The 23,047-nt window shown below is 49.3% G+C and overlaps 1 protein-coding gene, 1 long non-coding RNA gene and 1 other non-coding gene across 8 annotated transcripts in view, besides 3 other annotated features; 2 read left to right on the forward strand and 1 right to left on the reverse strand.

Moving 5' to 3' along the window:
* The window catches only part of LOC105372480 (uncharacterized), a 12,299-nt gene extending 6,132 nt beyond the window's left edge, over positions 1-6,167 (reverse strand). The window contains exons 1-2 of the long non-coding RNA NR_144444.1: positions 5,742-6,167; positions 4,091-4,280 (exon numbers count right to left, since the gene is read on the reverse strand). This is a non-coding gene — a long non-coding RNA (uncharacterized LOC105372480). The remainder of the gene's footprint in view (positions 1-4,090; positions 4,281-5,741) is intronic.
* Positions 5,798-6,540: an enhancer, noted in NCBI's record as "H3K27ac-H3K4me1 hESC enhancer chr19:58838245-58838987 (GRCh37/hg19 assembly coordinates)". NCBI's record gives its function as "activates a minimal SCP1, AML or CMV promoter by ChIP-STARR-seq in primed H9 embryonic stem cells {active_cell/tissue: H9 hESC(primed)}" and the evidence as "EXISTENCE:reporter gene assay evidence [ECO:0000049][PMID:30033119]".
* Positions 5,884-6,213: an enhancer, noted in NCBI's record as "active region_15184". NCBI's record gives its function as "activates an Ori minimal core promoter by ATAC-STARR-seq in GM12878 lymphoblastoid cells {active_cell/tissue: GM12878}" and the evidence as "EXISTENCE:reporter gene assay evidence [ECO:0000049][PMID:35858748]".
* On the forward strand, positions 5,913-21,251 carry ZSCAN22 (zinc finger and SCAN domain containing 22). Of its 6 annotated transcripts, none has more exons than XM_011526917.3 (3): positions 5,913-7,458; positions 13,671-14,124; positions 17,173-21,251. In XM_011526917.3, the coding sequence occupies exons 2-3, from the start codon at positions 13,722-13,724 to the stop codon at positions 18,243-18,245; spliced, it is 1,476 nt and encodes a 491-aa protein (XP_011525219.1). In that variant the 5' UTR covers positions 5,913-7,458; positions 13,671-13,721; the 3' UTR covers positions 18,246-21,251. The 6 variants fall into 6 exon arrangements, with proteins under 6 accessions (XP_011525219.1, XP_006723255.1, NP_862829.1 ...); XM_006723192.4 differs by having other exon boundaries at positions 5,913-6,303; NM_181846.3 differs by having other exon boundaries at positions 5,913-6,033.
* Positions 13,607-13,670, forward strand: MIR6806 (microRNA 6806). The gene has a single exon (NR_106864.1). It is a non-coding gene; the product is annotated as a microRNA 6806 (primary transcript).
* Positions 17,430-17,931: an enhancer, noted in NCBI's record as "H3K4me1 hESC enhancer chr19:58849877-58850378 (GRCh37/hg19 assembly coordinates)". NCBI's record gives its function as "activates a minimal SCP1, AML or CMV promoter by ChIP-STARR-seq in naive H9 embryonic stem cells {active_cell/tissue: H9 hESC(naive)}" and the evidence as "EXISTENCE:reporter gene assay evidence [ECO:0000049][PMID:30033119]".
* Positions 21,252-23,047: the final 1,796 nt, after the last annotated feature.

Genomic DNA, 23,047 nt, shown 5'->3' on the forward strand with positions numbered 1-23,047 from the left:
CCTCCCGAGTAGCTGGGATTACAGGCCCCCGCCACCAAACCCAGCTTTTTGTATTTTTAGTAGAGATGGGGTTTCACCATCTTGGCCAGGCTGATCTTGAACTCCTGACCTCGTGATCCACCCACCTCGGCCTCCCAAAGTGTTGGGATTACAGGCATGAGCCACTGCGCCCGCCCAAAAAAATACATATTTTTAAAAGATGCTTTTGCAGTTGTTTGTGCCTTGTATTAAGGTAGACCATATAGTTTGGGGTTTTATTGCCCAGAACCAAAAAGGTAAAATTTATATGCTGAAGTGTGTGTCACAGAGTCTAGCTCTTTAAGAAGAAAATTTTGTGTGTTCCTCAGCTTCAGCATGAGGACGTCACTAAAACTAGTTGAGACAGTGATGATGTTCGTTAAGATTTTACTGAGCACTTTAGAAGCACTTTAAGTAGATTGTCCCATTCCATCCTCTTAGCCGGCCTGGGATGTATTTTTATTCCCACTTCATACATCAGGGAGCTGAGACTTTGAGAGGTTAAATCACTTGCCCAGTGCCCCTAGCTAAAAGGCACTCACTTTTCAGGACGAAAATACTTGAGTTAATGGATAAGGCCAAGGTGGCAGAAGTATTTCCTTCCCTTTTACCAATGCCCAGAGGTATTTACTGGAATTCTAGAACTGAGGAGGCAGTTCTAGAATATAAAGTCCTATTGAGCATGGGAGACAATGGAATGATTGGGTTCCACCTGAAGAAGCAAGTTGACCCATTTAGCTGACTTGAGGCAAACGCAAAGTAGTAACTGGGAGCCACTGCTCAATCCAGATGTTGATTAAATGCTTCCTGGGAGCCCTGCATGTGTTCCCACTCTCCCCTGTAACATTGCTCAGGGGTTCTCTGGCTGTCAGGCTGAGATCTAGCCTCTAGCTGGCCTCTATGCGGGGGTCCCCAAGATCCTCAGGTGTGAAGATTCACTAGAGGAACATAGAAAACTGATATACTTAACATTTACGGTTTATAGTCAAAGGATACAGATTAAAATCACAAAGATAAAAGATGCGTAGGGCAGCAACCAGAAGAGAGGAGGTACAGCTGTTGTAGAGACTGCTGAATTCTCCCAGCGCTGAGTGACAATATAGAGTAGCATCAACCAAGGAAGCTCACCCAAGCCTTGGTGTTCAGGACATTTACTAGGTGATGATCTAGTGGGCATGGAGTGCCCACCTGACTGACTTTAGTCACTTAGTCTCCCACCCCTCTAGTGGTCAGACTGTTACAGTGTGGCCTAAGATCCTCACCATAAATCACATTGTTGACAAATACTTGGCATGGCCCAAGGTCCTCAGGTAAACAAAGATACTCTTAGGCAGCATGATCACCACATGCCTTGAACTGAAAGAAACCAGGGTCACAAATGATTTTGTTGGCTTTCTACATGGAAGGAAAAGAAACCAAAAGTATTATTGTAGTGGATTGAATTACTAGCTCAATTCTTCACTGCTCCTTGCATATATACACCCACGGCCATATTTATGGTTCTTCCCAGTAAAGGCAAATTTGATGTCCCCACCCATTCCTTGAGTTTGGGTGTGGCCATGTGACTTGATTTGGCCAACAGAATCTAAGTGGAAGTGATAGCATGCTAGTCCTGAGTCCAGGCCTAAAGCCCATTGTGTCTCTGCCATCAGGATGAGAAGAATTTTTCCTGTGAGCCTTGCAAGACAAATACAGCAGACCTGGACCCAAACTGCAGCCTAGAGCCAAGCCCAGCTGAGCCCAGCCCAGATCAGCCAACCCTCAGACACATGACAAAAATAAGCACTTTTTTTGCTGTGGGCCACAGAGGTGTCGTAGCTGTTTGTTACAGAGCAATAGCTGATACAATTGCCAAATTAAAGTGAATACTCCCTGAAAAAGATAAGGTTTGAAATCTGGGGAGAGGATAAGAAAGAGACAAAGGGAGAGAGGAAAGGAGGAGCATCCACTCAGGAGAGTCCAGAGGCCAGAATGCTGATTGAACAGAGCACAAGCACAAAAGGGGTGGCCAAGGGAAAGGGCCTTCCAAGGTCTGCAGTATTGACTACAGGTGCCATGGTGGGTGCAGGAGATGAATGAGGAGAATCCAGCTATGCAGCTCCAGGCAAGGGAACATTGTTGGTCTGCCAGTCATTCAGTCATTCCTCAGCCAACTCTTAGTACCTAGCCCTGTACAAGGCATCAAGGATACCCTGGCCTCGGCTATGTAAAGGGCAGGACCCCTCTCAGGCCTAACAGCACAGACTCACAATCTAGGCAGAAAAGGAGCCAATGAGGAGAGATTCCATTGGCTTTCCAAGTCACCCTATACCCATTAAATGTCAACCAGGGCTCTTCTTCCTCTCCCTGACACCAGAGTCCCCTCCAGCTGCTGCCCTATCTCGCTCGTTTCCTCCTTAGAATCTCCCTGAAAAGGGGTCTAAGGATCCCCACACTGATGCCACTGTCCATTCACCCGTTATGGACTGAATTGTGTCCCCCCAAAATTCATATATTGAAGTCCTAACCCCCAGTATACCTCAGAATATGACTGTATTTGAAGATAAGACCTTTAAATAAGTAATTAAGGTTAAAGAAGATATGGATGGGTCCTAATCCAACATGACTGGTGTCCTTATAAGGAGAGAGAGACAGTAGGGGCATGTGCAAACAGAGGAAATGCCATGTGAGGACACAGTGAGAAGGCAGCCATCTACAAGCCAAGGAGAGAGGCCTCAAGAGAAACCAAACCTGTTGACACCTTGATCTGGGGACTTCCAGCCTCCAGATCTGTCAGAAAATAAAAAAAATTTTTTTTTTTTTGAGATGGAATCTCGCTCTGTCGCCCAGGCTGGAGTGCAGTGGCGTGATCTCGGATCTCTGCAAACTCCACCTCCCGGGTTCACGCCATTCTCCTGCCTCAGCCTCCCTAGTAGCTGGGATTACAGGCACCTGCCACCACGCCCGGCTGATTTTATTTTATTTATTTATTATTTATTTTGTATTTTTAGTAGAGACGGGGTTTCACCTTGTTAGCCAGGATGGTCTCGATCTCCTGACCTCATGATCCGCCCACCTCAGCCTCCCAAAGTGCTGGGATTACAGGCATGAACCACCGTGCCTGGCCCAGAAAATAAACTTTAAACTATCGTTTAAGCCACCAAATCTGTGGTATTTTGTTATGGCAGTCCTAGCAAACTAATACACCCTCCTCCCACCCATAATCAGAGGGCACTATCAGGCACCTGGGTCAGCCTTGCTCACCCCTTGGACACTGTAGTTCAACCCATCAACCCTATCATCTATACCAAACTTGTCCAACCCACAGCCCACGGGCTGTATGTGGCCCAGGACAGCTTTGAATGCAGCCCAACACAAATTCATAAACTTTCTTAAAACATTATGAGATTTTTTTTGCGATTTTTAATAAACTCATCCGCCATCATTAGTATATTTTATGTGTGGCCCAAGACAATTCTTCTAATGTGGCCCAGGGAAGCCAAAAGAGTGGACACCCCTGATACACCTTCAAAACAGATCCAGATCTGACCACCTGTTAGCATCTCTACCACACCACCGTTTGACCACCCTGATCTGAGCTACCTGCCTCAGGTGCCAGTACTCTCAAAGCAATTGCATCTTTGGTCTCCCTGACTCCACTCTCATCTTGACAGTCTTCTCCTGCAGCGGCCAGAGAATTCCTATGAAGAGCTAAGTCACAGCACAGCCCTCCTCTGCTCAAAGGCCTCCCATAGCTCCCACTTCTCTCAAGGTGGAAATCAAAGTCTGTATGTGAGCCAAGTGTGGTGGCTCACGCCTGTAATCCCAGCACTTTGACAGGCTGAGGCAGGAGGATTGCTTGAGGCCAGGAGTTCAAAAGCAGCCTAGGCAACACAGTGAGACATTGTCTCTACAAAAAATAAATAAACAAAGTCGTATGTGGCTCACAAGCCCTTCAAGATCTGCCCCCACAGGCCTCCCTTTTCTGTCCTTGTCCCCTCCCATCTCCTTCCCTTAATCCACCCCAGCCAGTCTTCCTCATCCATGCCTCCTCCTGACGTGGGCATTTGTGTTCCATCTACCTTGAACTTACTCTCCCTGAGTTCTTCGCTCTATTCAGGCCTCAGCTTAAATACCAACTTCTCAGAAAAATGACTTCTTTGTTTACCATCTGCCTCCCCACACAATAACATCACCTCCATAAAGGCAGGCCATGCTTATCATCATTGCAGTATCCAATCTGCAGTGGTGCTGGCTGCCTGTTGTGGGTGCTCAGTATTTATCTGTGGAAGGAAAAGAATATATGCTCATTCCAGCTGCTAGCAGTCTGCAGGGCAAAGTCTGAGAATAATAGGGGATGTGAGCACAGGCTGGGGCCAAGAAACACCACCAGCACCACCAAGCAATCATACACACCCTGCCTCAAAAAGGCCTCACCTGAACATAGGCTGGGCCACCAACCTCTATGTATCGGGCCCCAAGCCAGAGTCTCCTGCTCAATGTCTCTTACACATACACACACACACAGAGAAGATACATTCTCACACACAGTCCAGGCATCGACTGAATCACACAATCACACTACCATTCACAGTCACCGTAACAACATCACACACAGTCTAGGGCCTTTATACTGTGTCAGGTCCACCCCATTACCTCTAAGTATCTGTCTCAGACACAATTACACCTGGTGCAGGCAAACACAGCTGCATGATTATCACATATGATGATTAAATCACAGGTCACACACACGCAGAGTAAGCACACAGAACAACCCACAAACCTGGTCACAGAGTGACTCATGCAGACAGACGCCCAGCTCAAATTCAGTAAAAAATGATACACATTTATAAAAATGATTACATGTGTTCACAGAGAGCCACACATAGCTACACTCAATACACACCCTGACATAGGCAACCACACCGCTCACCTCTCACAAAGGCACCTTCAGTACTTACACAGACACTCACACCCACAAGCCCTCAGACAGGCACCCTCTCCCCTCACTCCTAACATGGGCACCCTCACCTCTCACCCAGGTACCCTTGTTACTGGTGGAGGGTGTCCAGGTTCTTGGCATCTTGAACAAATAATTGGACAAAATGCACAAAGAAAAGAATGAAGCAACAAAAGCAGAGATGTATTGAAAATGAAAGTACACTCCACTGTATGGGAGCAGGCCGGAGCATAGGGGCTCAAGAGCCCGGTTACAGAATTTTCTGGGGTTTAAATACCCTCTAGAGGTTTCCATTGGTTACTTGGTATATGCCCTATGTAAATGAAGAGGACGAAGTAAAGTTACAAAGTGATTTACTCCATGTACGCCCTGCATAAATGGAGAGGATATTTCCTACCATAGCTGCAGTTTCCATTTGATTTACTTCTAGGAAGTCCTTAGGTTCCCTGCCTCCAGACCCGATTTTCTTGCCTCACCCTTACCCCTCACCCCTCACACAAACACCCTCAGCCCTCCCAAAGCCACCCTCAGCCTCACACAGCCGCCCTCACCCTCAGCCTCACACAGGCACCCTCAGCTCTCACACAGGCACCCTCAGCCCTCACACAGCCGCCCTCACCCTCAGCCTCACACAGGCACCCTCAGCCTCACACAGGCACCCTCAGCTCTCACACAGGCACCCTCAGCCCTCAGCCCTCACACAGCCGCCCTCACCCTCACCCTCACACAGGCACCCTCAGCCTCACACAGGCACTCTCACCCTCAGCCTTCACATTTCCCTCACCTCCAAGTCCCGCCTTTCGCGCATCGCCTGCTGCTCTCCCACTCAGCGCCACCTCAGTCCCACAAAGGCCGGGCTGGGATCCTGTGGCCTCCGTGCTGACCAACGTCAACTACAATTCCCAGCAGGCACCGCGCCTGGGTACACTTGAGCTTCCGGAGGACGCCGGGAATTGTAGTCCTGGCGGGCGTGGGCCCTTGAGGTGTGCTGGGAGCTGTGGTCCGGGTCGGCGGGCGCGCAAGTTGGCTAGTCTCTGCGGCCACCTCCGGAAGGGTCCGCCGGCTGTGCTGGTGAGGTGGGTTTCGGGGGTGTTCTCCGTCCTGATCCAGGCTGGAGAGGGGCACAGCAGGTCCAGAAGCCGCGAACCTCTGGGGCGGCCAGAGCGAGATGCGGGGTACCGCCCAGCGGGTAGAGAGTGAGAGGCTGACTAGGGGACGTGAGTAGACGGACTGCGAGTGCCGGACACACGCGCAGAGGATGTGACGGACTGACGGACCAGGCGTGGACGGACCGTGTGTGCACGGACTGACGGACCCGGTGTGGACAGACTCACGGACCGAATGTGGTGCGGAATGACACACTGAGTGCCGGACGGACCGACGGAGAATGTGTCGGACTGACGGAGTGTGTGTCGGATGGACTGATTGACCGGGTGTGGGGCGGACGAAGTGTGGAGCGGGCGGACAGATAACAGATAAAATGTAGGACCAGTGGCCTGGGAGGGTGTGGGGCGGACCCGTTTATGTGTCTGATAGGCGGTTCTGTGTCTGACACCTCTTGGGTGTGTGTATCTGACGGGTTGGAGTGTGTGATTCTGATAGGTTGAGTGTAACACTAACCATGGAGTGTGTGACTGACAGAGATGGTTGCCGTTTGAGACTTCCTACGTGGGTTGTGAGATACTGTGAGAGGGTGAGCGTGTGACGGTGGGATTTCAAGTGTGACTGATTTTCTTTGTGTGTCCTTGAGATGGTGACTAAGATTATGAATGACTGTGATCAGAATAATACTGTGTGATGGAAATGCTGCGAGGGCCTGTGTTTATTTTTGAGACGGAGTCTTGCTCTGTTGCCCAGGCTGGAGTGCAGTGGCGCAATCTCGGCTCACTGCAACCTCCATCTCCCGGGTTCAAGCGATTATCCTGCGTCAGCCTCCCGAGTAGCTGGGATTACAGGCACCGGCCACCACACTTGGCTAATTTTTGTATTTTTGGTAGAGACGGGCTTTCACCATGTTGGTTAGGCTGGCCCGGAACTCCTGACCTCAGGTGATCCACCTGCCTAGGCCTCCCAAAGTGCTGGGATTATAGGCATGAGCCACCATGCCTGGCCAGGCCTGTGTTTATTTGACTGATTATAGGTGACATTGAGATATTTCCTGTGTCTGGGTATTTTGAAGGCTGTGGCTGACAGACTGTACCTGAGATAATATGTGTTAATATCTGATTGACTGAGATTTTTATCAGGGAGACTAAAACTTGGGTGATCCACAAACAGTTTACCAAGCATATGAGAGAGGATTTGTGCTTTGCCATGTCTGCAGCTGAAACTGAGTGACTAGTGGTCATTCAGCTGGGCTTATGGATATGTCCCCCAGTGTTTGCTTACGTGTAGCAGGGGGCTATGGTATCCATACATCTACTGCATGTTTACTGTGCACCAGGCCTGTGCTGGACACTTATAATAAATCACCTCACATAATCTCATAGCAACCCTCTGAGGTAGGTACCATTATCAGGCTTGGTATAATCCATGTGTGAGAAATGAAAAGAACCACCCTCCTTGGTTGGTAAAGCAGCTGTGGATGGGGAACCTCAACCTGATAGGAGTTGAGGTTGGCTGAGGAGGCTGAGGAAGTTTCACATACATGTATTTCAGAGACCGTCATGAGGGATTTCTCCAGAACAGGTGTTCCAGGGGTGCAAAAGAGAACTTGGAAGCTGTTGCAGCATCTATTGTCATCCCTGCCACCCTTGCTCCTCCTTCCCCTCATGATTCCCTACATTCTTGGGTAACCATGCTCAGCCTTTACTGGTCATTCCATTTGCTTAATGCCTGCTTATTGTGAACCTGCTATAGGGCAAGTCCTGTGTGCTGTGGCTCCAGGACAGCCCAGCCTCTCTGAGGAAACAGTACAGAACTAGCAAAGAGTTACCCAGGGCACTCTGGGAAGAGGACTTAGACTAGTACCAGGTATCTGGGATGACACCTGAGGAAAGTGGCAGCTAAGATGAGGCCTAGAGAGCCCAGAGGAATCCGTCAGAGACGGATTTCAGAACTCGAGAGCAGCAGGGGCGACAAGGGGCTTAGAAAGGCCACAAGAGACCCAGGAGAACTTTACAGTGCGGCGAAGGGGCTTAAACGCAGCTTGGCCAGAGGCCACCAGAGGTCACCAGCGGTCACCAAAAGGTTTCAGGATTGGGGTCTTGTTTTAGAGTAACGTTCTCTTCTTCCTGTGCCCAAGGCCATTGCTCTTTCTCAGGCCTCCTGCATCTCTGTCCAGGGTGACTTCCTTGAGCAGAGACTCCAGGCACACTGAGCGTCCTGGCTGACATTGAAGGAAAGGAAAAAGAACTCCAAATACTTAAAACTGTGGGAGTCGTGGATGGGAGAGGGAGAGGCTAAGTCTTTGAGTAAGGAGTAGTATGTGGCCAAAGCAAAGTGTCGAGGTCTCCTAGGAGAGGTTACACTTAATTTAGGGTATTCTTCCTGACTATAAGAGAAAACAAATTCACTGTGGGAAGTAGAGAATGTCAAGAAAAGTAATACAGTAGTCACCCCTCATCTTCAGTTTTGGTGAATATAGTACAATAAAATATTTTGAGAGAGAGAGAAAGACCACATTAATATAGCTTTTATTACAGTGTATTGTTATAATTGTTCTATTTTATTAGTCATTGTTGTTAATTTCTTACTATGCCTAACTTATGAACTTTATCAAGGGTATATAATAAGAAAAAAATATAGAATATATAAGGTTCAGTAATATCCATGGTTTCAGGCATCCACTGGAGGGTCTTGGAACACATCCCCTGCAGATAAGGGGGAACTACCATAGTATAAAATACCTTGGTAAGGATGTAGAGAAATTGGAACCCTCATCCACAACTGGTGGGAATGCAAAATGGTATAGCCAATTTGCAAAACAGCCTGGCAGTTTCTTAAAAAGTTAAGCATTGCCTACATGCGGCCAGGCGCAGTGGCTCATGCCTGTAATCCCAGCAATTTGGGAGGCTGAGGTGGGCGGAACATGAGGTCAGGAGATCGAGACCATCGTGGCTAATACGGTGAAACCCCGTCTCTACTAAAAGTACAAAAAAAAATAGCTGGGTGTGGTGGTGGGTGCCTGTAGTCCCAGCTACTCGGGAGGCTGAGGCAGGAGAATGGCGTGAACCCAGGAGGCAGAGCTTGCAGTGAGCCAAGATTGCGCCACTGCACTCCAGCCTGGGCGACAAAGCAAGACTCCGTCTGGAGAAAAAAAGAATTTTTTCAAAAAGAAAGTATTATCTCCCTCTGAATGTCGGTAGCACCCCCATCTAGAAATGGGGCTAGATTCTGAGAAGTAGAATTAATATTGAGGCAGAGAGCACAGTCATTTTAAAGCTCTTACAACATACTGCCAAATTGTTTGCCAAAGATATTCTAATTGATTGCCCTCACCAATAGTACATGAAAGTAGTTTTTTGCTGTCCCTGACCAGCATTCAGTGCTCACAGTTCTAGAATTTGGAAAGGCTTTGAGTGTGGAGGAAAGATCGCAGATAGCCTGAGCTCAAACACTAGCTTTGTTCCTACTGACCAGATGACTCTAGCAGCTGACTTTCCCCAACTTGGAAAATGGGAGTGGTAATACTGACTCACAGGGTGGAGCTAAGGCTTGAATGGGATAACAGATGCCAAAGGCTAGTGTGGCCTGGTAGCCGGTAGGTTCCCACTGACTGTCTGTTCCCATTTTCTTTTATTCCTGTTGCACACTATACCCATATCCATCATCATAATTATCTTATCATGTGTTGGTCGCTGTCCTTCCGTTGAGGCCATTGAGCCCAGCACCCATGCCTTCCCCGTATTTGCATTCCTAGTACAGTGCTGGGCACAGAGTAGGCACCTAATGGGGCTGTGCTGAACAAAAGTATTATTATTGATGTATGTGCCCAGCAATGCTGTAGACACTGGGGATAAAGCAAAGACCTAAACAAAAACCCCTGCCCTTAATGTGCTGATACTCCAACAGGGACAAGTAAATAATAAACAAGTAACCACATACGTGTATCACACATCAGGTGGTAAAGAGCAAATAAAGCAGTGTAGAAGCACAGAGACTTACTGATAAGGCGTCTTTTGTGTAGAGGCCTGACTTAAATAAGGGAGAGAACACCCAACAATTATCAAATGCACTTTTTTTTTTTTTTTTTTTGAGACAGAATCTCACTCTGTCGGCCAGGCTGGAGTGCAGTGGCACAATCTCTGCTCACTGCAACCTCCACCTCCCGGGTTCAAGCAATTCTCCTGTCTCAGCCTCCCAAGTAGCTGGGATTACAGGCCCCCGCTGCCACGCCTGTCTAGTTTTCATATTTTTAGTAGAGATGGGGTTTCGCCATGCTGGCCAGGCTGGTCTTGAATTCCTGACCTTGTGATCCACCTGCCTCAGCCTCCCAAAGTGCTGGGATTACAGGTGTGAGCCACCGCGTCCAGCTGACGTTATTATTATTATTATTATTATTATTATTATTATTATTATTATTATTTTGAGATGGAGTCTCTGTTGCCAGGCTGGAGTGCAGTGGCGTGATCTCGGCTCACTGCAATCTCCACCTCCCGGGTTCAAGAGATTCTCCTGCCTCAGCCTCCTAAGTAGCTGGGACTACAGGCACACGCCACCACGCCCAGCTAATTTTTTTGTATTTTTAATAGAGACGGGGTTTAATCATGTTGGCCAGGATGGTCTCGATCTCTTGACCTTGTGATCGGCCCAGCTTGGCCTCCCAAAGTGTTGGGATTACAGGCATGAGCCACCGTGCCTGGCCAACATTATTTTTTTAAAAGCTGTATTTTTATTTTATTTTATTTTTTGAGATGGAGTTTCACTCTTGTTGCCCAGGCTGGAGTGCAATGGCAGAATCTCGGCTTACTGCAGCCTCCACCTTCCAGGTTAAAGGGTTTCTTCTGCCTCAGCCTCCCAAGTAGCTGGGATTACAGGCATGCACCACCACGCCCGGCTGATTTTGTATTTTTAGTATAGATGGGGTTTCTCCATATTGGTCAGGCTGGTCTTGAACTCCTGACCTCGTGATCTACTCGCCTCGGTCTCCCAGAGTGCTGGGATTACAGGCGTGAGCCACCGCGCCTGGCCTCCAGAACATTTTTATCATCCCCAAAAGAAATTCCCAAACCTATTAGCAACCACTCTCATTTTTGTCTCTCTTCAGCCTCTGACAAACACTAATATGCTTTTTTTTTTTTTTTTTTTTTTTGAGATGGAGTCTACCTCTGTCGCCAAGGCTGTAGTGCAGTGGTGTACTCTCGGCTCACTGCAACCTCTGCCTCCCAAGTTCAAGAGATTCTCCTGCCTCAGCCTCCTGAGTAGTTGGGATTACAGGTGCCTGCCACCACACCCAGCTAATTTTTGTATTTTTTAGTAGAGACGGGGTTTCACTGTGTTGGCCAGGCTGGTCTTGAACTCCTGACCTCAGGTGATCTACCCACCTCGGCCTCCCAAAGTGCTGGGATCACAGGTGTGAGCCACCGTGCCCTGCCGTGTCTTTCTTCTTTTACTTAGCATCATGTTTTCAAGGTTCATCCATGTTGTAGCATTAATCAGTACTTCATTTCTGTTTATGGTGAATAGTGTTCCATTATAGGTATATACAGCATTTTATCCATTCATCAGGTGGACATTTGGATTGTTTCTCCTTTTTTGCTGTTATGAGTAATGCTGTTATGCACATTTATGTATAAAGTTTTGTGAGGACATATACTCATTTCTCTTGGGTCTATACGTAGGAGTAGAATTGCTAGGTCATGGGGTAACTCTGTTTAAGCTTTTGAGGAACTCCCAGACTGTACTTCCCACAGTGGCTATCCCATCTTACATTCCCAGCAGCAGCATATGAGGATTACAGTTTCTCCATATCCTTGCCTACACATGTTATCTGATTATAGGCATCCCAGCAGGTGTGAAGTGCTATCTCATTGTGGTTTTCATTTGCAGTTCCCTGGTAGCTAGTGATGTTAAGCATCTTTTCATGTATTTATTGCCCATTTGTGTATCTTCCTTGGAGAAATGTCTAGTCACATTCTTTGCTCATTTTAAAATTGTATTATTCATCTTTTTACTATGGAGTTGTTCTAGATACAGGTCCCTTATCAAATATATGATTTGCAAATATTTTCTCCCACTCTGTGGGCTGCTTTTTTACTTTCTTGATGTGGTCCTTCAAATCACAAAAGCTTTTAATTTTGATAAAGTCCAGTTTATTTATTTTTTCTTTTGTTACTTATGCTTTTGGTGTCATAGCTAAGACAGCTTTGCATTATTTTCAAGTATTCATGGAACATTAACCAAAATTAACCATACACTGGGTCACAAACCAAGTTTCAGCAAATTTTAAATGATCGAAATCCATTGTAGCATGTTTTCTGACCACAACAGACTTAATCTAGACATCAGTAATAAAAAGACAACTAGAAAACCCCCAGTTGTTTGGCAATGAAGCAGGAGAGTTTTAAATAAATAACCAATGGGACTGGGCATGGTGACTCATGCTTGTAATCCCAGCACTCTGTGGGGCCGAGGCAGGCAGATCGCTTGAGGTCAGGAGTTCGAGACCAGCCCCGCCAACATGGCAAAACCCCGTCTCCACTAAAAATACAAAAATTAGCCTCACATGGTGGTGCACACCTGTAGTTCCAGCTACTTGGGAGGCTGAGGCAGGAGGATTGCTTGAACCCGGGAGGCGGAGTTGCAGTGAGCCGAGATAGCGTCACTGCCCTCCAGCCTGGGCGACAGAGGGAGACTCCGTCTCAAAAAAATAAAATAAATTTTAAAAAATAATTAATGAGTAAGGTAGAAATTGTAACAGAAATTAGAAAATATTTTTAACTAAATGATAATGAAGATACAACATATCAAACTTGTGATGTATAGCTAAAGCTGTGTTTAGAGAGAAATTTATAGCCTTAAATATGTGCATTAGAAAAGAGGAAAGGCGAAAGTCAATTATGTATCAATCTCAAACACTACAAAATAATTAGCAAGTAAAGTGAGAGAATGACCATGTGGCTACCTGGGGAACAGAGGGAGAAAGACTTGGCTCTGTTGGGGAGGAGCACGCCTTAAACAGGCTGGCTGTAGGTTTGCGTGGGTTTGTAGCTTAGCTCTCTGTTAACCCTTCACTAGCTGAGGGACTTTGGGCAAATATTTTCCTCCTGAGTGTCTGTTTTTCCATCCATAAAATAGGTAGAAAGTCCCACCTCCTGAGTTTGTTGTAAGTTTTTTGTTTGTTTGTTTTTGTTTTGAGACAGAGTCTTGTTCTGTTGCGCAGGCTGGAGTGCAGTGGCGTAGTCTCGGCTCACTGCAAGCTCCGCCTCCCGGGTTCACGCCATTCTCCTGCCTCAGCCTCCTGAGTAGCTGGGACCACAGGTGCCCGCCACCACGTCTGGCTAATTTGTTTTGTATTTTTAGTAGAGACGGGGTTTCACCATGTTAGCCAGGATGGTGTTTGTTGTAAGTTTTAAATGAGTCTACATGCAAGCAGTAGTAGCTTAGAACAGTGCTCAGCACCAAGTGGGTGCTGTCCTAATTATGAGGATTGTCTATGTCTTTGTGAGAGTCTTTCACATCTCACGGGCCACAAGCCTGTGTTTTCCCTGCTCTGTAGGCATGAGGCAGGGCCCAGGTTCCATGTGATGCTGAAGCTCTGACATTCCTGCAGGCCCAGTTCCAAGGCTCCGGCATCCTGTGTCTCACTGAGCACTGCTGCCCGATGGCCATCCCCAAGCACTCCCTGAGCCCAGTGCCGTGGGAAGAGGACAGCTTCCTTCAAGTGAAGGTGGAGGAGGAAGAGGAAGCCAGCCTCTCCCAGGGCGGAGAATCCAGCCATGACCACATTGCTCACTCTGAGGCTGCACGCCTGCGCTTCCGGCACTTCCGCTATGAGGAGGCATCTGGTCCACACGAGGCCCTGGCCCACCTCCGAGCGCTGTGCTGTCAGTGGCTGCAGCCCGAGGCGCACTCCAAGGAGCAGATACTGGAGCTGCTGGTGCTGGAGCAGTTCCTGGGTGCGCTGCCCCCAGAGATCCAAGCCTGGGTGGGAGCCCAGAGTCCCAAGAGCGGAGAGGAAGCCGCTGTGCTGGTGGAGGATCTGACTCAGGTGCTGGACAAGAGAGGTAAAGGGGCGCCGTGGGCAGCTTCACGGCACACCAGAGATACACCCTGGACAGGAACATGGGAGCACAGGGCTCTGGTTTGGGGTTGCTCATGCACCCATTCTCACATTTGTACTTTACCGTAACTCTCACACACTGTTGTAGACAGGTGTGTTTTGGTTGCAGGTGACCAAAAGCGAGCTGAAATGGGCTGAAGCAAAGAAGGGTAAGGAGGCAGCAGATACGGCTATATCCAGAAGATCTGTTGACAGCATCAGAACTCTCTTCTTCCTCTCTTGTTCTGTTTCTCAGTTGGTTTTTTCTGTGTTAGCTTCATTCTTATTTTAGGTTCTCTTTCCAAAGGGGTTAAAGATAGCCAGGAACCCCAGGCTTATGTCTTACCAATGTAGAAACCCCGGGGTAATAACAATAAGAGGTCCCTGGTCTGAGCCCCCACTGGCCTGGTTGGGATCTTATGTTTGTGTTTGGCCAACCAAATCCCAGGGACTAACAGTGAGCAACTGGCTGTTTCTCAGAGGAAACCAGACGAGGGCCTGGGTGCCTGGGGTGGCTGTTGGGGGTGACGGAAATACCAGATGTCCCTGTGTACCTTCTCTATGCCCACCCTGGGCTGGCCTCCAGGATTTGGGTGGGTCAGACCTGCCCCAGGCTCAGCTGGGCACTGTTACTCACAGAGACCCACACAAACATCCCAACCCAGGGAGGTCCAGTGGGATGCAGGGAAGACCCAGCCTTGGGACAATCCAGAGCAGGGAGTGGTGGCTCGTCTCAGATGGGCTTGGCCTGGCCTATTGGCAACAGATAGGAGGTGGGCATACCACACACTGGGAGGAAACGTGCAGTGTGCAGGAGGAATGTGGAGTCTGGATACAGCTGCATCATCAAGGCTCAGTAGATCCAACCGCTGCTGCTCTTCCTGGCCATGTGACTCCCTTGTGCCTCAGTTTACTCATGGGTAAAATGGGGATTGTAATAAAAACGCCCACCTTAGTGGTGTTGCGAGATACAAGGCAATACCCGTGCAGCACCTGAAATGGTGCCTGGCACAGATTAAATAAATGGTAACTGCAACTGTTAGGATAATTTGTTCAGCTCTGGGAGAAACAGGCCTCTCTGGAACAGAGGTTGGTCTATGCCCAAGCAGATGTCACAGAGACAGGGAGAGGAAGGAGGGAGTGGCCCCATCCTCCCACAGGGTTGGCCAAAGCTCAGAGAAAGGGTAAAATGCAGAGGGAATGGTGGGGTCAAAGGCCTGGCAGTGTGATTTGCACTGGTGTATTCTGGTAAAAGCAGGTGGTGTGATGTTTCTGGATAGAGGAAGGAAGGGGGAGACAGGGCCAAGCAGATGGCTGGGGGAGCAGGGGAGACTGCCTGTGGACCTGGAGGAGAACATTCTGGAGCTGAAATCCCAACTGGGCCACTAGCTAACTGTGATCCTGTACCAGTTACTCAACACCTTCCCTCAGCTGGATTTCAGTTTCCCCATCTGCAACAGAATCACAGCAGTACCTCCTTCTGAGAGCAGGTCGAAGCTGAAATGAGGCGATGGAAGTCACCCACTGTGCTTGGGGCCCAGCACGACAAGAGCCTGATAGTGGTTAGTGGCCCTGGAAGGCCAGCGGCACAGCATCCATGGCTTACAGATGGGGAGACTGAGTCCCAGATGAGGGCAGGACTGATTAAGGTGGTAGACCTGGGGTTTGAGTCCAGTTTCTGCACTGCTGAGCCCCACTGTGGACTTGAGCAGTGGGTATTCCACCTGTCTCTGCCTCCTCCCTGGAATCCATCCAGTAGATGTGCCAGATTATGTGTCCTTTGCACCCATGCAGGGCAGGTCAGTGCGAGCATTCCTCTACCTCATGCACACTCTGATCTCCAAGAGCACCTCCGCCACACTCTGCCTTCATAGTACTTTACAATGTAGGGGCTTGAGAGGCCAGATGGGTACCTCATGTACTCACCCCCAGCAGCCATATTCTACCTGGGGTTCTACTTGCAGAAATTTTCACCATCGTGGGCTTCTGGATGGATTCCCTCATTCAGCCAGAATTCACTGAGCACCTGTGGACACATCCAGGCCTAGAGGCAAGGTGTTGAGTGTGAGGGACAGAACCGCAACCTCACAGAGATCAGAGCCTGCAGGGGACACATCCAGGCCTAGACGCAAGGCGTTGAGTGTGAGGGACAGAACTCCAACCCCACAGAGATCAGAGCCTGCAGGGGACACATCCAGGCCTAGACGCAAGGTGTCGAGTGTGAGGGACAGAACTCCAACCCCACAGAGATCAGAGCCTGCAGGGGACACATCCAGGCCTAGACGCAAGGTGTCGAGTGTGAGGGACAGAACTCCAACCCCACAGAGATCAGAGCCTGCAGGGGACACATCCAGGCCTAGACGCAAGGTGTCGAGTGTGAGGGACAGAACTCCAACCCCACAGAGATCAGAGCCTGCAGGGGACACATCCAGGCCTAGACGCAAGGTGTCGAGTGTGAGGGACAGAACTCCAACCCCACAGAGATCAGAGCCTGCAGGGGACACATCCAGGCCTAGACGCAAGGTGTCGAGTGTGAGGGACAGAACTCCAACCCCACAGAGATCAGAGCCTGCAGGGGACACATCCAGGCCTAGACGCAAGGTGTTGAGTGTGAGGGACAGAACTGCAACCCCACAGAGATCAGAGCCTGCAGGGGTGCATGTGCTCAGGGTCCTGACAAGGACAGACCCTCCCTCTCTCTCTGTCTCCAGATCAGTTCCACATCAGGGTTTCTCCTCTTGACTCTTGAGCCAAAATTGGGAGCCTTGAAAGATGGCGAGTTTGGTGGGAGGAGGAGAAATCAGAACCCATGGTGTAGTTTTGGATGGTGTGGGAGGACAGCCCTGCACCCTTTGTCATCCAAGACACCAAATGAGAAACTTCCCCTTGGAACTGGGGCCAGATGTTAGGAACGGGCCACATCTCCCCTTACAAAGTGTGACCGGGGCCCTCGGCAGAGTAGGGGAGGCTTGGTGTGGTAGGAGGAGTGACAGTGTGGTTCGGACTGTTTCAGGATGGGATCCAGGAGCCGAGCCCACAGAGGCAAGCTGCAAGCAGAGTGACCTGGGAGAGTCAGAGCCATCAAATGTCACTGAGACCCTCATGGGAGGTGTTTCCCTTGGACCCGCCTTTGTCAAGGCATGTGAACCTGAGGGCAGCTCAGAGAGGTCTGGACTATCAGGGGAGATCTGGACAAAGTCTGTCACCCAACAGATCCACTTCAAGAAAACTTCAGGGCCTTACAAGGATGTCCCCACAGACCAGCGTGGCCGTGAATCTGGTGCCTCGAGGAACAGTTCTAGTGCGTGGCCAAACCTCACCTCCCAAGAGAAGCCTCCTTCAGAAGACAAATTTGATCTGGTGGATGCTTATGGGACAGAGCCTCCATACACCTACTCAGGGAAGAGGTCCTCCAAGTGTCGCGAGTGTAGGAAGATGTTCCAGAGTGCTTCGGCGCTCGAGGCACACCAGAAGACCCATTCTCGGAAGACCCCATATGCCTGCAGCGAGTGTGGGAAAGCCTTCAGCCGGAGCACTCACCTCGCCCAGCACCAGGTTGTCCACACAGGGGCGAAGCCCCATGAGTGTAAGGAATGTGGGAAGGCCTTCAGCCGAGTCACCCACCTGACTCAGCACCAAAGGATTCATACTGGAGAGAAACCCTACAAATGTGGGGAATGTGGTAAAACCTTCAGCCGCAGCACTCACCTCACCCAGCACCAGCGGGTGCACACGGGGGAGCGGCCCTACGAGTGTGACGCGTGTGGGAAAGCCTTCAGCCAGAGCACGCACCTGACTCAACACCAGCGCATCCACACCGGGGAGAAGCCCTACAAGTGTGACGCGTGTGGCCGAGCCTTCAGCGACTGCTCAGCCCTGATCCGACATCTGAGAATCCACTCTGGAGAGAAGCCATATCAGTGTAAGGTTTGTCCGAAGGCCTTTGCACAGAGCTCCTCCCTCATTGAGCACCAGAGGATCCACACGGGAGAGAAGCCTTATAAGTGCAGCGACTGTGGGAAGGCCTTCAGTCGTAGCTCAGCCCTGATGGTTCACTTGCGGATCCACATCACGGTGCTGCAATGACCGGAAGTCGCCCCTGGGGGCGTAGCACAGCGTCTTCTCGGAGGCTCGAGGTCTAAGAGAAACGCTGAGTTCCTGAAGAGCCACAGACAGGGTGGGTGATTGATGAGTTGTCAAAATGATAGGTGCCTGAGGGCAGACTCGGGCTGTCTAGGAACCACTCTGCATTTGAGGAACCCTGATGAGCACAAGGTGATTCAGGCCAGCTGGAGAAGCTTCCAGAAGGGCCCTGCACTGCTACCCTCTATTTCCCACTCAGGGCTGTCCCAGAGAGAAGGCAGCCGAACTGAGGATTTAGACTGGTTCTGAGGGCCAGGGCAAATGAAGGCGCATGTCTCTCAGAACTCAGCGTCCCAAGACGCTCTGGGCGGGCCAACTGTAGCTTGTTCTCATGTGGTTCTTCTTGCCTGCTTTTCTGCTGCTTAGCCCAGAACGGACACCTGCCATGCCCACCTCTGTGCCTTGGCACCTACTATTTCCACTCCAGACTATTTTGTGCCTAACTGCAAGGCTGACTTTTGAGACTGCCTCTTCCACGATGCCTTTTCTACACTCTGCCTCTCTCATGGTTTCCTGTCGTAATCAGTGGTGCTGCTTGACACCTGCCCAGCATGTTCCTGTCTCTCCTTTTCCTTCCACATCCCACCAGTCACCAGCGCTATTGTTTTAACCTAAAGCTTATCTGTAATTCACCTCCTTTTCCACCACTGCTACCTTATGTGAGCCCTCATTGCCTCTTGCCTGGATTATAGCCGGGGTCTCCTTCCTGACCACTTCCTGCCTTTATTCTCTGCCCCTGTATCACTCTCCAGGGGACTCTTGATATTACTTAGATCTGACTGTGTCACTCCAAGGTGGAAAGCTCTCCAACCCATCTTCTACAGCACAGCTTCCTGAACAGGGTATAAGTATGCTGAGATGCAGGCTGCTCTGGGCCCCGAGCAACCTCTCCAGTTATCCTCATATGCATGTATGAATACTGTCATTTTTCTGTGCGTGCAGTGAAAATGGCCTCATCTCATACCATGGCTCCACCTTCCATACACCAGCCACACGGAACTACTGTGGTCCCTGAAGGAGCCATACATTTTCCCACTTATGTGCCTTTGTACCTGTGCCTGGAACCCTCCTCTTCTTTTTCTTTTTCTTTTCTTTTCTTTTTTTTTTTTTGAGATGGAGTCTCGCTCTGTCGCCCAGGCTGGAGTGCAGTGGCGCGATCTCGGCTCACTGCAAGCTCTGCCTCCCGGGTTCATGCCATTCTCCTGCCTCAGCCTCCCAAGTAGCTGGGACTACAGGCGCCTGCCACCACGCCCAGCTAGTTTTTTTTTTTTTTTGTATTTTTAGTAGAGATGGAGTTTCACCATGTTAGCCAGGATGGTCTCGATCTCCTGACCTCGTGATCCACCCGCCTCGGCCTCCCAAAGTGCTGGGATTACAGGCGTGAGCCACCGCACCTGGCCCTCCTTTTTCATCTAAGGTGTTTCAAATGTTGCCCAAAGAAACCTCCCTGCTCTCCGGGAGCAGACTTCAGCTTGCCCTCTCTGCTTCCAGAGCACCTCCTAGATACCTCTCTTACAACTCCTGCCACCTTGTTTTACTTATTTGCTCCTTGTAGAGCTGCCTTTTCCAAGGATACCATAAACTCCTGAGAGCAGGGGCCATGTCTTACTCTCAGTATCTACAACACACAAGACTCAGTAGGCCCTGACTGATGTCTCTTACATGAATGTGACTGGTGCCCCCAGGAGGCAGTCACCGTGCTGTCTCTGCCCCACATTGTCCTTATGTATGTTTACATGGATGTCTCCCCAGCAGCTTGAACCCTGGAGAGCAAGAATAATCTGATTTTCCTGGGGGCCAGCACCCAAATAAGCCTGGCATGCAGTGGCCTCAATAAAATGTGACTGTATTGAGTCATTTTCTAGGGCCCCAGATCCCCTGGTGTCATGGACTTAGTCTTTGCCAGCATTCTGTCCATGTGTTCTCTGGTCTTCTCTCACAATGCTGCATCCCTGTCCCATTTTTAGGGTCCCTGTCTATCACTGGATGCTGCAGCTTCTGTTCATTACTGTTAGTGTATCATTCTTCATGCCTCTGTTTCTGTGATGGTCTCATCATATGTGAACCATTTGACCTGGCGTATTGTGTACTAGTCACCGTCACCATCTCTCCATATGTATCTCCCTGTATTTCGGGCCCATTCCCTCTATGTCAAGAGTAAATAGAGGCACAGAGACTGATGAGAAACGTTCATAACATGAAGGTAAGACTCAGGGAGACAGAGACTTTGTGGAAGTATCTCTGAGGGAGTCCCAGACACAGGCAGAGAGGGCCACATATCGTGTGCCAGAGGCTGAGAGACTGAGAGGGATGACAGGCTTAGGGGAAAACTCAGAGAGGAGAGATGCACATTCCTAGTGAAATTGCACAGGCTTCCAGCATGCTGGAGGGAACAGAAAAGGCATGGGCCTGAATTCAGGCTGCAGAGCCTGACTCCTCCCTGTGGCTACTTTTGGGACCTAAGATAAGTGACTTTCCTGAACCTCCATGACCTCCTCATATGTAAACCAGGGACAGGACCCACCTTGTGTAGTGCCTGACCCAAAGCCTGGCCCTGCACACTGTCTCTGACTCACAGCAATCATCAGCACCTCTCTTTGCCTCCTACTTGCTCAGTCTCTGTCACAAGAACTGGATCTCCATCCCCTTGATGCTCTGAGCATCTTCACCCATTTGGTCGTTGAGACATATCTGTCCATGTCTGTCTAAAAGGGGAGGAGATGAGGGAGAAAAAAGGGAATCTACTCAGAGCCTGTGTGTGCTGCCCAGTCTACCAAATAATTTATATACATCTCAGTCCTCACACAACCATCCCTGTTTTATAGAGGAGGAAGTGGCTTAGAGAATGTAACTGACCAAAGTCACACTGCCAGGAACTGGAAGCACTAGGATTTGACAGCATATCCAAATATGTCAGCAATTTCAATAAACATGACTGTACTCAACAAACCAAGTGTAAAGACAAATTCTAACAGACTGAATTTCTTTTTGGACCAGCCATATGTTCTTTAGAAAAGATACACCTAAAACAAGGATATGGGAAGTTGAGGGCAAAGGGATAGAAAAGGATATACAAGGTAGGCATGAAACTGAAGAAAGCTGATGGAGCTGCATTAGTCGCGCAAAACAGACATTAAGGTATAAAAGCATTTTAAGAATCATGGGGTCACTATGTTTTTATAAAAGAAACAATCTATTAGGAAGATGTAATAGTTCAAAACCAGGCACATAATATGAGTCTTGTAGAACAGAATCACAGTGAGAAACTGACGAAACCTTAAGTGTACTTGGAAGTGCTAACACGTTCTTTATGATAGAAAACATTTGAAGAGGCCGGGTGCGGTGGCTCCCACCTGTAATCCCAGCACTTTGGGAGGCCAAGACAGGCGGATCACGAGGTCAGGAGTGCGAGGCAAGCCTGGGCAACATAGTGAAACTGTCTACAAAAAATACGAAAATTAGCCAGCCTGGGCCGGGCACAGTGGATCACACGTAATTCCAGCACTTTGGGAGGCCAAGACAGGCAGGTCACGAGGTCAGGAGATTGAGATCATCCTGGCTAATATGGTGTGTAACCCCTTCTCTACTAAAAATACAAAAAATTGGCCAGGCACGGTGGCTCACGCCTGTAATCCCAGCACTTTGGGAGGCCAAGGCAGGCGGATCACGAGGTCAGGAGTTCGAGACCAGCCTGACCAGCGTGGTGACACCCCGTCTCTACTAAAAATACAAAAAATTAGCTGGATGTGGTGGTGTGTACCTGTAATCCCAGCTACTAAGGAGGCTGAGGCAGGAGAATCGCTTGAACCCAGGAGGCGGAGGTTGCGGTGAGCCAAGATCACACCATTGCGCTCCAGCCTGGGCAACAGAGCGAGACTCTGTCTCAAAAAAAAAAAAAAAAAAAAGCCAGGCATGGCGGCACACGCCTGTAGATCCAGCTAATCAGGAGGCTGAGGCAGGAGAATTGCTTGAACCTGGGAGGCAGAGGTTGCAGTGAGCCGAGATTGGGTGACTTCACTCCAGCCTCGACAACAGAGTGAGACTCTGTCTCAAAAAAAAAAAAAAAAAGGCTGGGCACAGTGGCTCACACCTGTAATCCCAGCACTTTGGGACGCCGAGGTGGGTGGATCACCTGAGTTCACGAGTTTGCGACCAGCCTGGCCAACATGGTGAAACCCCGTGTCTACAAAAAATTAGCCGGGCGTGGTGGCGGGTGCCTGTAATCCCAGCTACTCAGGAGGCTGAGGCAGGAGAATTACTTGAACCTAGGAGGCAGAGGTTGCAGTGAGCCGAGATTGCACCATTGCACTCCAGTCTGGGCAATAAGAGCAAAACTCCATTTCAAAAACAAACAAAAAAAAGACTCAACCCAGAATTCTTTTTTTTTTTTTTTTTGAGATGGAGTCTCGCTCTGTTGCCCAGGCTGGAGTGCAGTGGTGTGATCTCAGCTCACTGCAAGCTCCGCCTCCCGTCAACCCAGAATTCTATATCCAGTGCAAACACACTTAAAGAACGAAGGCAAAATACAGACATCCTCAAATGAAACAAACCTAAGATATATATTTCTTGCCAGCAGACTTGCCTGAAAAGAAATGCCAAAGGAAACTCTTGGTAGAAGGGAAATGATACCAGAGGGAAAGCGGGAACTTTGGGAATTAAATGATAGTAATAGAGATTGCACAATTATTTTATCTTTAAAATATGGCTGGAGGCGGCTGGGCGCGGTGGCTCACGTCTGTAATCCC

The sequence above is a fragment of the Homo sapiens genome, chromosome 19, assembly GCF_000001405.40.
Source record: "Homo sapiens chromosome 19, GRCh38.p14 Primary Assembly".
Classification (NCBI taxonomy): domain Eukaryota; kingdom Metazoa; phylum Chordata; class Mammalia; order Primates; family Hominidae; genus Homo; species Homo sapiens.

What these genes read in the sequence shown, in the direction of transcription:
- ZSCAN22 (XM_011526917.3), top strand. Translation starts at nt 13,722, where the DNA reads ATGGCCATCCCCAAGCACTCCCTGAGCCCAGTGCCGTGGGAAGAGGAC. An exon ending in TCAGGTGCTGGACAAGAGAG is followed by an intron (nt 14,125 to 17,172) that starts GTAAAGGGGCGC and finishes GGACTGTTTCAG; the next exon opens with GATGGGATCCAGGAGCCGAG.